Consider the following 13,690-nt stretch of genomic DNA (forward strand, 5'->3'; position numbering starts at 1 on the left):
TTATGGCAAGTGAAAGAAGCAAGACACAAGAGGCCACATATCGTATTATTCAATTAATACGAAATGTCCAGGATAGGCAAATCCGTAGAGACAGAAAGGAGGTCAGTGCTTGCCAGATGCTAGGAGAACAGGGGAGTGGGCATGACATTATGTGCTAATGGATATGGGATTTCTTCTGAAGGTGATGAAAATATCCTGGAACCAGATAGTGATAATGACTTCAGAAGTCTGCTAATATACTAAACACCACTGAATTGTATACTGTAAAAGGGTGAATTTTGTGGCATGTGAATTACCTCTTAATAAAGCTGTTAAAAAGGAAATGGCAACATATACATATTATTCAGAAAGATGGAGGTAAATGCCAGAATAAAACGAAAATGTTTATGGTAGTTGCCTATGGTAGTAGCCTCTGGGGAGTGGGAATGTGGAATGGCAAGGAAAACTGCAGGTTTTAATAATTAAAAAAAACTCTTGTGCTATAGGATTTTAAAAATTTGTGTGTGTATTCATTTGATAAAAATGAAAAGGAGCTAAAAGCAAAAGATGCATGCAGACACGCACACACAAACGCACACACACATATTGTGGAGACAAATCAGAAGCGATTCTGACGCATTGGGTCTGAGGTGGGAGCCAGGATCCTGCATTTTCAACAAGATAGTTAGGTGATTTCGATGCAGGAGGTCTGCTAGTAAGTAGCAAACTTTGAAAAACACTACTATATCCAATGTTAAAATCATTTAGCAATGAATTTTGATATAATCCATCTCCCGCTGTGTTCCTTTTGAAGTGGCAAGTTTCAGTAGCTAAAGAATAACATTACAGTTTCAAGGCTATGTATTCAGTCAGGGGCAGAACTGGGCCAAGAACTGAGGCCTTCTGACTCAATAATTAATGTAGTTACTTTTTAAGCTTCTATTATGTTCTATGGAGTAACAAAATGAGTAAGATAAACTCTTTGCTTTAAAGGGCAAGTCTAGTGGGGTAATTATAATGCCTGACAAATATATTAAGATTTTACGAAGCATTTTTCCCACATTTCGTCAGTATTAACATAACTATAAAGAGAGAAGACGGACATTCTCCACAGTTCAGAAGGGAACCTATTGGGGATTCAATTCACCAGGGACTTCAGGTGAATCTAAAGGGCTTTGTTACCTTGAAGACTCTAGCCCACCAGCAACAACTGGGGCCTTAGAGGGTGCAGGACCCTGGAGAGGGGGCACAATGCCCAACAGATGTGGCATTACCCAGGGGAAAGTGGCAACTATCTCTCAGCTTCCTGTACCTATTTTTAGGCACAGGTGAGACCTCCCTCCGCAACACTCCATACCCTCACCAACTGTCTGACTTGGTACTGTTAGTGCAGGGGAGAGGGCAGGAGCCAGCCTAACATAGGTCACAGACTCAAGCGTCACATCTGATCTACTCCACAGCCCTGGGAGGTAAGTTTCAGCCCCATTTCACACAAGGCTGTCTCTTATAGCAATGAATCTGTAGTAACTGCCAGGTTGATTCCTCCAACTTCAAGTCCCAGGGGTAATGTGAGTTTTATCTATCATTTTGTGTTCTAACAAGAATTTTGTCTCCACTGCCTTAATATGATCAATGAATAGTTCTTTTGATTGCCTAGTATTTACTATTTTCCTATTTTGTTTACCTTTTATTACTTCCTTTAAAACAAAAATAGCCTGTGCTTTTTAGATTTAAAAGAAGTACAGATGAGAAAAAGAATAATTTTCAGTCCCACCACACAAAGAAATTCATGATTTCTCTTTGATCTACTCAATTGCATAGTGTCCCCCATGTATGGATATATTATGTAAACATTTTTTTTCAGAAATGGGCTGATACTGTATACATGGTTCTGAAAACTCTTTTTTATTGTTATTTTACAATGTACCATGAACATTTATTCCATGCACATGGGTGAAAATCCTCTACTAAAAGACAGAGCACTGTAGTTGGGTCAAAAGTCTGCTGGTAACAAGAGTGACACCTAAAGGAAAGTATCAGCTTAAGGTTAAAGCACATAGGCCGGCAAATGCCTGCCAGGAAAAGCAGGACTGGCAATATTCCCATCAGAGAAATCAGAATTAAAGGCCAAAGACATTAAACATATGGGACATCTTCTAAGTCTTTCTGGCCCCTACCTCCGCCCCTCACTCCCCTCACACCCCGTTGGCCCCTTGGGGCGAATGGATCCTGTACATCTCTTTGCATCCAATGAAAACCACCCATTTTCTGTTTTTTCCTTAGCTCCTCCTGAGCCCTTGACACATCTCCACATTCTCTCATCATCTCCTCACTGCTCAGATGCCTTTCTTGTAAGTCCTCCTGAGAGTCCTTGGGGGAATCGTCCGTCCCCCTGTCGGTTTTTCTTTTTGCTTTCCGGGGCACATAATCTTCAGCCGGGCGCTTTTCGGCGGCCCGCGGCTGGCTCTCTGGCTTGGCCTGGGAGGCTGGCTTGCCCTCACTTTGTGGCTTGTCCTCACCTTCAGACTTGCCCTGCTTTTCCTGGTTTCCCTCATCTTCCAGTTGTCCCTCATCACCTGGCTCTCCCTCATCCTCTCGCTTTCCCTCGCATTCTGTCTTCCCCTCCATGTCCGGCTTTTCTTCCTCGTCTGACTTTCCTTCATCTTCTGTACTTCCCTCATCCTCTGGCTTTCCCTCACTTTCTAGGTTTCTTTCATTCTCTGGCTTTCCTTCATTTTCTTTGTAGAGCTTTTCCATGTTGAGATGTTCCCTTCTTTGCCTTTCCTAGGAGACAAAAAGAAGACACAGGACACTGAGGGCTTTGGGGGTTGAACACAGGTCCTTATAGTACTTGTCTTTCTTAACTTAGGGTTTTCCTGGCCCTATCCCATCTTCCAGGTGCACTCCCACCCTTACATTCCTTCCTTTCCTTTTCACTTTACACATGTTCACACAAGCCAACCTTACAGAAACTTCCACAGGTGCTTCTCCCTACATTTAAGGAGGATGTGCTGAGAAATGCGTAGGAGCATATTGGCCCTTAAACTTTGCTCTGGCCTTGGCTATGCCTACCCATACCAATTTTAACTGGGTAGTTCCAATTTACACGGACCTGCAGAAATCCTGGGCAGTTTTCTTCTTTTTCCCCTTGCATGCAGTTGTAAGACTTATAAAACTGCAGACAGAACAGAACCATAGCCAGTTCTCAGATTTCAGGGCTACCCTTATGTCCTCAGGGGGCATCACAGATGCTACACCTCCATTCTCTTACTTTCTTATTCTCCCCTCTATCCTCACCAGCCATAGATCACCATATCCCCTTAGGGTCTTGACAGCAGTCATGTATCCCGAAACTGCAAGAGGGAGGATTGGAGGAGGGGTGGCAGGCAGTGGCCTCCCCAACTTCTGCTCTGGCTTAAGTTACTCCTACTCCCAAGGGTCCTGGTGCAGTAGCCCTCTCCCACTGACCTGCACCGATACTGCAGGTCTTTCCTTTTCTTGTCTGGGTTAGTGCCCACAACCACAGACTTGAAGACCTGCAGAAAGACAAGAAACAGGTGGGTGAATGAGAAATTGAGAAAGTGAATGACTGGTAACTTGGACACTGGTTCTTTGGGACCGTATTTGTCAAAACTTTCCGAGCTCCTATCACCTCCTCGCCTTTTCCCTTGCATTCTCTGATTCCCCCTCCGCGCGCAGCTCTTTCTTAAGAGCCTCCATTGTTCTACTTGTGGGAAATAGGCGAGAAAGATTATTTCCAAAGCGTTTCTATGTTTCTGAATCTTCCTCCCAAATTTTTATCTCACTTTTCTGGCACGAAAATGAGTAGGGTTAGAGACAAGGATGTTCTGAAGACAGAGTGTTCTGATGCACTCAGATCTCTACATTCCAAATCCCTCACCCTAGGGTAGCCAAATAGCAGAGCCCACCACTTCTCTGAAAATGGTGATGACAGAGATAGGGGGCAGGGCAGAAATGTCCAAAACACTCCTGCCACCTCCTCCCTCCCCACATACACAGAAAGCCCACATTTTTCTGCAATGCAAGAGACAAATTATTTCCAAACCCGGTAACATTTTTGGTCTTGCTGCTACCTCATCTCAATCCTCCTACTTCAGAAGCCACTCCTCCTGGATAGGGAGCTGATCCCCAGATCAAACCTCTGTCTCCCTTTTTCTACAGCACCTCCTTCCCCTGACCCCCTTAGCCCACCGTTTCCGGCTCCAAAATGGAGGGAGGTTGGAGAAAAGACACAGGGAACTCAGGCCTGGACCCGTTGCAGGGTCCGCCCTCAGCAGCCTGGGGTCACTGACTGTGCCCGCCTCCCGCTGCCTTGCAGGGATCAGGCCGTTTTCTCGCCGTTTCGTCGCTGTTCTCTTCCCTGGTCCTCCTCCTCCTCCATCAGACATCACCCGGTCGCCGGCTTCCTAGGAGTTCCCAACTGGTACCCAATTCTCAACCCTTGACCTCTCTCGAGTTCCGCCCCCCTCCCCCCTCCCCGCCCCGCACCAAGCCCTCCATTTCTTGCACCAAATGAGTGAGCATCGGGAAAGGAGTGGAGAGAATCCAGTCCTGGACCCGCTCTGGTCTTTGCCCTCTGCCATCCCAACCACAGGGATCCACAGGCTGTGGATGGGTTCGTAGCCATCTCGGGGAAATGACTCTTTCTCACATTTCCTTCTGCCAGAAGCCTGCACTTCTCCAGGGAAATAAAAGCTGGTACCCATACCTCTTGCCCAACACAAAAAAATTTCTGCGCCAAAATGAATGGGGGTGGAACAGGGCGGTATCTAGAAAGCAGATCCGATCCTCTGTAGCCTATGTGCATTACCATCCCTACCTCAGGGGTCCCCGGCTTGTACCGACCTGCAGGGCTGTAGGGCAGTTGCCTTCTCTGTCCTTCAGTCTGAAGTCTGCCTTCCTCCACGGAAACAGGGATCTGGTACCTGGAGGAGAGGGACTTCTGCACACGTCGGCTTCAGATCACGTGAGAAAAACGTCACCAGTGGGCTCGGGTCCCTAGTTCCCCTCCCACCCGCAGAAAGTGCGTCAGGAGCCAGCCCACTTCTTCCCTTCACTAGTCTGTCCGTCTGAGCGCCCTCAGCACCCCCAACCCCGGCTTAGCTCTCTCTCTCGCCCCACAGCACGGGGCCCTGTCACTCATTTTGGTCTTTGCTAATCCCACAGGTCAAATGTGGCCCTTTCTCTGTGTAGTATGTATTTATTCTTCCGTGGTTATCAGGGAGGGACCGCACCTTCTTCTAGAGCTATTGGCCATTGGTACATCTCAGAGGAATTTTTTTTCTTTCTCTCCTTTTATCCGAAGGCACCTACTCGATCTAATTCTACACGCAGCCACTGATGTTCATTCTGCCTGTGAACCAGACCTTCTCATAATGGGTACAAGGTGGATTGTCAAGTAGGGACACAAGTAGTTAAAATAGGGGTTTTATTTTTTTAAATTTTTTTGATCTTATTTAATTCACTCTCCTCAGCATGGGTTATTCTTATAAGCACAAAATTAAATAAAGCTATTTCATTTATGAGAAAGTGTTTAAGAGAGAGAAAAACTTAAAAGATTTCAAAATTTTCTACTCAGAAGAGAGACCAAATTAGGTTCATAATATTAACTTTTGCCATATACACAAGGAATTCAATTGGCAACAAGCAAAATATACATTAGAAATTTTTCATAAATAGCTGGTTCTCTCACGTTCTATTTAACACACACACACACACACACACACACACACACACACACACACACACACATTTAATGTTCCCAAACGATTACTGAGTGCTAAATAGACTTGCTGGAATCTGATGGTTGAAAGAAAATTCAAAAATGTCTCTTTAAAAAATTTGGCTCATGGCTATTTTCATTCAAATGTTTAGCTCTAGGGGAAGGGAAGAGCTGTGAGACCAAGGCTGCAGGAGATGTGAAGGATGCAGAAATGGTCCTATCCTCCCTGCCCTGCCAAGATCAGGGGAAGGTGTTCTTCTCCACCCCCTCATATTCTAGAATTTCTCATCCCCTGCATTTCTCATCCCCAGGCACATGACTCTGTTGCTCAAGAGTCATCTGTCCAAGAATATAACTGGACAGGTGACCAAGGTGGTGATATGAGTAAATGCCTTTGGCTCCTTCCCTCCTCCCTCCCCCTAATTCCCACAGGGATAACCCAGCCCCAGCACAGAGTGGAGCATTGTTCATGCCTCTAGAAAACTAGAACAGATCTCTTCTAGACCCTTGCAGCTGAGGGTGTTCATGAGGCCTGAAGTGATTGCTGGGGTAGAGTCCCCTGCAACCTGCCTGCTCTCTGCCCTTATTCACAGTGCCTGAGTGGAAGCCTCCCTAGACCCTGTCTGTTACCTCCCGCCTAGCCTAAAAAGTGCAGTCTGGCGGGCCTCTCACCCCCAAACTCTGTATCTTCAGGGAACCCAGAGGGAGCCTAACCTTGCTGCAGGATTGCTGCCTGCCAGTCCATACTAACCTATGACTGTCTCAGCAAATTTAGGCCAGTGTCTAAGGAGTTCTGCCATGCTGTCCATATTGACCTAGACCAAGTATTCCCAATTGATGAAGTCTGTGGGCCACCTGAAAGGGCATGTAAAATTGCATATGTTTAGGAAGTAGTGGAGTATGCACACTCTTGTGAGAAGAAGATCTGTACCCTAGGAGCCTGAATAGTGTTTTGTTCTATTTGCACACCCCATTCTGTTTATCCATCATATGTTGATGAATATTTAGGCATTTTCATCTTTTAGCTGTTATAAATAATGCTGCCATATACAATCACGTATAAGTTTTTGTGTGGATGTATGTTTTTATTTTATATAAGCAAGTTGACATCATGAAAAAGAGGAAACCATAAAGGACAGAAAGAAGAAGCTACTTGACAAAGAGATAAGAAGGGGAAGACACAAATAGCAGCTGAGCCATGTTAAAGAGAGCTCATCTATTCCTTGGGTTCAGGCATTATTAAACTATGAATCCCCTAAAATTATGTTCAAACTTGTGTGTGTGTGTGTGTGTGTGTGTGTGTGTGTGGTCGTGGTTTCACTCTGTTGTCCAGACTAGAGTCCAGTGGTGCATTTATAGTTCACTGTAGCCTTCAACTCCTGGGCTAAAGGGATCTTCTCACCTCAGCCTTCTGAGTAACTGGGACTACTGGTGCACGCCACAACTCCCAGCTAATTTCTTTAAATTTTTGTACAGACAGTGTCTCCCTACATTGCCCAGGTTGGTCTCCAATTCTTGACCTCAAGTGAGCCCCCTGCCTCAGCCTCCCGAAGCACTGGGATTACAGGCATGAGCTGCCGCACCCAGGCTGGATATATACATTTTTATTGTATGTGCACATTTGCTGAGAATAGGTTCCGTTGCTCTCATTAGATGTTCAAAGGGGTATGTAATATTAAAAAGATGAAGGCCATTGACCCAAAGAATATACTTCTGTATACATTTTTTTCAAATCGTGCTATCTTTATTCTCTATTTAAAAGAGAAATTCACATAACATAGAATTAACCATTTTAAAGTGTACAGTTCAGTGACATGTATAGTACACTCAAAATATTGTGTAACCATCCCCTCTATTTAGTTCCAAAACAGTTTCATCAATCTGAAAAGAGACCCCATACCCATTAAGCAGTCATTCTCAATTCCCTTTTCCCCCTAGTCCCTAGCAATGACTTATCTGCTTTCCATCTTTATGAACTTACCTATTCTAGATATTTCCCATAAATGGAATTGTACAATATGTGACCTTTTGTGTCTGGCTTCTTTCACTTAGCATAATGTTTTCAAGGTTCATCTACATTGTAGCATGTGCAATACTTCATTCCTTTTTATGAATTAATATTTCATTTTATGTGCATACCACACTCTGTTTATCCATTTGTATGTTGATAGATATTTGGATTGTTTTTGCCTTTTGGCTGTTATAAATAATGCTACCATAAACAATTATGTATAAGTTTTTGTGTGGGTGTATGTCTTTACTTCTCTTGCATATATAGCTAGGAGTGTAATCATTGGGTCATATGGTAATTCTATGTTTAAATTTTTGAGAAACCGCCAAACTGTGTTCCACAGTAACTGCAACATTTTGCATTCCTATCAGCAAGACTCCAATTTTACCATATCCTTGCAAACAATTGTTAATTTCTATTTTTTATGTTTATCATCCTAGTGGGAGAGAAGTGGTTTTGATTTGCATTTTCTTAATGACCCATGATGTTGAGTATCTTTTCTTGGGTTTGTTGGATATTCGTATATTTCCTTTGGAGAAATATCTATTCAAGTGCTTTGCCAATTTTTATTTTTTATTTTTTAAATTTTATGTTAGGTTTGGGGACACATGTGCAGGTTTGTTTCATAGGTAAATTGCATGTCACAGGGGCTTGGTATACACTTTATTTCATCAGCCAAATAATAATCATAGTACCTAATATGTAGTTTTTTAATCCTCATCCTCCTCCCATCCTCCACCCTCAAGTAGGTCCCAATATCTATTGTTCCCTTCTTTGTGTTCAGGAGTTCTCATCATTTAGCTCCCACTTGTAAGTGAGAACATCTGGTATTTGGTTTTCTGTTCCTGCATTAGTTTGCTGAGGATAATAGCCTCCAGCTCCATCCATATTCCTGCAAAATACATGATCTTGTTCTTTTTTTATGGTTGCATAGTATTCCGTGATGTATATGTACTATATTTTCTTTATCCAATCTGTCATTGATGGACATTTAGGTTGATTCCATGTCTTTGCTATTGTGAATAGTGCTGCAGTGAACATTCGTGTGTATATGCCTTTATGGTAGAATGATTTACATTCCTCTGGGTGTATACCCAGTAATGGAATTGCTGGGTCAAATGGTAGTTCTGTTTTTAACTCTTACGGGAATCGACACACTGCTTTCCACAGTGATATTGAGCTTGCATGTATGTCTTCTTTTGAAGTGTCTGTTCATGTCCTTTGCCCACTTTTTAATGGGGTTGTTTTTCCTCTTGCAAATTTGTTTAAGTCCCTTATACTTGCTCGATATTAGACCTTTGTCAGATGCATAGTTTGCTAATATTTTCTCCCATTCTGTAGGTTGTCTGTTTATTCTGTTGATAGTTTCTTTTGCCATACACAAGCTCCTATGTTTAATTAAATCTCGTTTGTCAATTTTTGCTCTTGATGCAATTGCTTTTGGTGTCTTTGTCATGACACCTGTGCCCATTTCTATGTCCAGGATGGTGTTGTCTAGGTTGTCTTCCAGGGTTTTTATAGTTTTGGGTTTTACATTTAAGTCTTTAATCCATCTTGAGTTGATTTTTGTATATGTTGTAAGGAAGCAGGGATCCAGTCTCAATCTTCTGCATATCCTTACCCATTTTTTAATTAGGTTGTTTGGCTTTTTGTTGTTGAGTTGTAATAGTTCTTATATATTCTGGATATTAGTTCCTTATTTGATATATGGTTTGTAGATATTTCCTCCCATTCTATAGGTTCTCTTTCACTTTCTTAATAGTGTCCTTTTATGCACAAAAGTTTTTCATTTTGAAGAAGTCCAATTCATCTATTTTTCTTTTGTTGTTCATGGTTTTGGTGTCATATCTAAAAATTTATTGCCAAATCCAAGGTCATGAAGATTTACCCCTTTGCTTTCTTCTAAGGGTTTCATAGTTTTAGCTCTTGCATTTAGGTTTTTGATTCATTTTGAGTTAATTTTTATATGGTGTAATTTAGGGTTGTTTTATAAGATTTTAAGATTATTTTGATGGCAGGACACAACACACGGTCACTTGGAAAAATGAAAGGAAGAACTTTTGTTACTTATGGCTCCAAACTAGAGAAGGCTACCAGGCAAGACCACACAGGGGGTTGCATCTGGGTAACAGCAAATTGGAGCTGTAAGGAGCAGCTTACTTATGGCAAGTGGGGTGGGATTAGCTAGGTTTCACTGGCTCCCTGAGTAATGGCTAACTTGAATAATTTCTCAGGCTCCAGGGTATAAGGGCTGTCCCTAGCTGTCTATACCTGGCCCCTAGGTGGATAGGGCTGGTCTGAAGCGGCCCAAAGCGTGAACACCTGATAAGTGAAGTGGATAGAGTGTGGAGTTGATCAGCAGCCCAAGAAGGGGAACTGACAGGCCTCTAACCAGGGCCTCAACAATAGGCCACGACAGCATTAATATAAAAAATACATTACAATTTACTCCTTGATGTCTTGACATCCATTTTGAGCTCGATTATTTAGAGCATTTGATTGGCCTGAAGTGTAGAGGAGATATTCAGAGACTAGGGCAAAAGTTGCCCTAAACAGCATAAAAAACATTTTATTATGAAAGTAAACAGGAGGAAAATATGTGGAAGTATTAAGAAGTTTTTGTCAGCCAGTCATAACAAAGTTTCCTATTTATATGCCATTAGGCAAGAACATAGATCTGAAATTTTCAGGATCCCTAACAACATCTTTAGTGGCATTGTAAAGTGGGCTTTAAACATAAATTATATATATTTTATTATAATAATATTTTGGTGTATTAATTAGGTCAAGGTGACAGGGCCAGTAATGTTGTTGGAGGATATGAATTAATAGTTTAGTAAAATATATGTAAAGGTTAGTGATATTGTTTGTAAAAGGCATAGATGATCATGGTTGAAAATATAGGGCAAAATATAGTGATAGAAAGTTGGATGGTGGAGGGGTGGAGCCAAGATGGCCGAATAGGAACAGCTCCAGTCTACAGCTCCCAGCATGAGCGACGCAGAAGACAAATAGACAAATGATTTCTGCATTTCCAACTGAGGTACTGGGTGCATCTCACTGGGGATCGTCAGACAGTGGGTGCAGGACAGTGGGTGCAGTGCACCGAGCCTGAGCCAAAGCAGGGCGAGGCATCGCCTCACCAGGGAAGCACAAGGGGTCGGGGAATTCCCTTTCCTAGCCAAGGAAAGGGGTGACAGACAGCACCTGGAAAATCGGGTCACTCCAACCCTAATACTGCCCTTTTCCGATGGTCTTAGCAAACGGCACACCAGGAGATTATATCCCATGCGTGGCTTGGAGTATCCTACGCCCACGGAGCCTCGCTCATTGCTAGCACAGCAGTCTGAGATCGAACTGCAAGGTGGCAGCGAGGCTGGGGGAGGGGCACCCGCCATTGCCAAGGCTTGAGTAGGTAAACAAAGCAGCCAGGAAGCTCGAACTGGGTGGAGCCCACCGCAGCACAAGGAGGCCTGCCTGCCTCTGTAGACTCCACCTCTGGGGGCAGGGCATAGACAAACAAAAGGCAGCAGAAACCTCTGAAGACTTAAATGTCCGTGTCTGACAGCTTTGAAGAGAGTAGGGGGTTCTCCCAGCACACAGCTTGAGACCTGAGAACGGACAGACTGCCTCCTCAAGTGGGTCCCTGACCTTTGAGTAGCCTAACTGGGAGGCACCCCCCAGTAGGCGCGGACTGACATCTCACACCGCCGGGTACTCCTCTGAGACAAAACTTCCAGAGGAATGATCGGGCAGCAACATTTGCTGTTCACCAATATCCACTGTTCTGCAGCCTCCGTGGCTGATACCCAGGCAAACAGGGTCTGGAGTGGACCTCTGGCAAACTCCAACAGACCTGCAGCTGAGGGTCCTGACTGTTAGAAGGAAAACTAACAAACAGAAAGGACATCCACACCAAAACCCCATCTGTACATCACCATCATCAAAGACCAAAGGTAGATAAAACCACAAAGATGGGGAAAAAACAGAGCAGAAAAACTGAAAAATTTAAAAATCAGAGCGCCTCTCCTCCTCCAAAGGAACGCAGCTCCTCACCAGCAACAGAACAAAGCTGGATGGAGCATGACTTTGACGAGTTCAGAGAAGAAGGCTTCAGATGATCAAACTACTCTGAGCTAAAGGAGGAAGTTTGAACCCATGGCAAAGAAGTTAAAAACCTTGAAAAAAGATTAGACGAATGGCTAACTAGAATAACCAATGCAGAGGAGTCCTTAAAGGACCTGATGGAGCTGAAAACCACAGCACAAGAAATACGTGATGAATGCACAAGCCTCAGTAGCAGATTCGATCAACTGGAAGAAAGGGTATCAGTGATGGAAGATCAAATGAATGAAATGAAGCAAGAAGAGAAGTTTAGAGAAGAAAGAATAAAAAGAAATGAACATAGCCTCCAAGAAATATAGGACTATGTGAAAAGACCAAATCTATGTCTGATTGGTGTACCTGAAAGTGACGGGGAGAATGGAACCAAGTTGGAAAACACTCTGCAGGATATTATCCAGGAGAACTTCCCCAATCTAGCAAGGCAGGCCAACATTCAAATTCAGGAAATACAGAGGACGCCACAAAGATACTCCTGGAGAAGAGCAACTCCAAGACACATAATTACCAGATTCACCAAAGTTGAAATGAAGGAAAAAATGTTAAGGGCAACCAGAGAGAAAGGTCGGGTTACCCACAAAGGGAAGCCCATCAGACTAACAGCTGATCTCTCGGCAGAAACTCTACAAGCCAGAAGAGAGTCAGGGCCAATATTCAACATTCTTAAAGAAAAGAATTTTCAACCCAGAATTTCATATCCAGCCAAACTAAGCTTCATAAGTGAAGGAGAAATAAAATACTTTACAGACAAGCAAATGCTGAGAGATTTTGTCACCACCAGGTCTGCCTTAAAGAGCTCCTGAAGGAAGCACTAAACATGGAGAGGAAGAACCTGTACCAGCCACTACAAAAACATGCCAAATTGTAAAGGCCATTGAGGCTAGGAAGAAACTGCATCAACTAACAAGCAAAATAACCAGCTAACATTATAATGACAGGATCAAATTCACACATAACAATACTAACCTTAAATGTAAATGGGCTAAATGCTCCAATTAAAAGACACAGACTGGAAAATTGGATAAAGAGTCAAGACCCATTGGTGTGCTGTGTTCAGGAAACCCATCTCACGTGCAGAGACACACAGAGGCTCAAAATAAAGGGATGGGGGAATATCTAACAAGCAAATGGAAAACAAAAAAAGGCAGGGGTTGCAATCCTAGTCTCTGATAAAACAGACTTTAAACCAACAGAGATCAAAAGAGACAAAGAAGGCCATTACATAATGGTAAAGGGATCAATTCAACAAGAAGAGCTAACTATCCTAAATATATATGCACCCAATACAGGAGCACCCAGATTCATAAAGCAAGTCCTTAGTGACCTACAAAGAGACTTAGACTCTCACACAATAATAATGGGAGACTTTAACACCCCCTGTCAACATTAGACAGATCAACGAGACAGAAAGTTAACAAGGATATCCAGGAATTGAACTCAGCTCTGCACCAAGAAGACCTAATAGACATCTACAGAACTCTCCACCCCAAATCAACAGAATATACATTTTTTTCAGCACCACACCACACCTATTCCAAAATTGACCACATAGTTGGAAGTAAAGCACTCCTCAGCAAATGGAAAAGAACAGAAATTACAGCAAACTGTCTCTCAGACCACAGTGCAATCAAACTAGAACTCAGGATTAAGAAACTCACTCAAAACTGGTCAGCTACATGGAAACTGAACAACCTGCTCCTGAATGACTGCTGGGTACATAAGGAAATGAAAGCAGAAATAAAGATGTTCTTTGAAACCAATGAGAACAAAGACACAACATACCAGAATCTCTGGGACACATTCAAAGCAGTGTGTAGAGGGAAATTTATAGCACT

At 43.0% G+C, this 13,690-nt stretch overlaps 1 protein-coding gene across 1 annotated transcript; it reads right to left on the minus strand.

The window, feature by feature from the left end:
- Nucleotides 1,864–4,923, minus strand: TCEAL5 (transcription elongation factor A like 5). Its single transcript, NM_001012979.3, has 3 exons — nt 4,846–4,923; nt 3,448–3,515; nt 1,864–2,763 (listed from the first exon to the last, which is right to left on the minus strand). Exon 3 carries the CDS (start codon nt 2,734–2,736, stop codon nt 2,116–2,118), a length of 621 nt encoding a protein of 206 aa, NP_001012997.1. The 5' UTR covers nt 2,737–2,763; nt 3,448–3,515; nt 4,846–4,923; the 3' UTR covers nt 1,864–2,115.

This window comes from Homo sapiens, chromosome X (genome assembly GCF_000001405.40).
Source record: "Homo sapiens chromosome X, GRCh38.p14 Primary Assembly".
In the NCBI taxonomy this organism is placed as follows: domain Eukaryota; kingdom Metazoa; phylum Chordata; class Mammalia; order Primates; family Hominidae; genus Homo; species Homo sapiens.

Excerpts from the sequence above, each read along its gene's own strand:
- TCEAL5 (NM_001012979.3), bottom strand. The coding sequence starts at position 2,736 with ATGGAAAAGCTCTACAAAGAAAATGAAGGAAAGCCAGAGAATGAAAGA.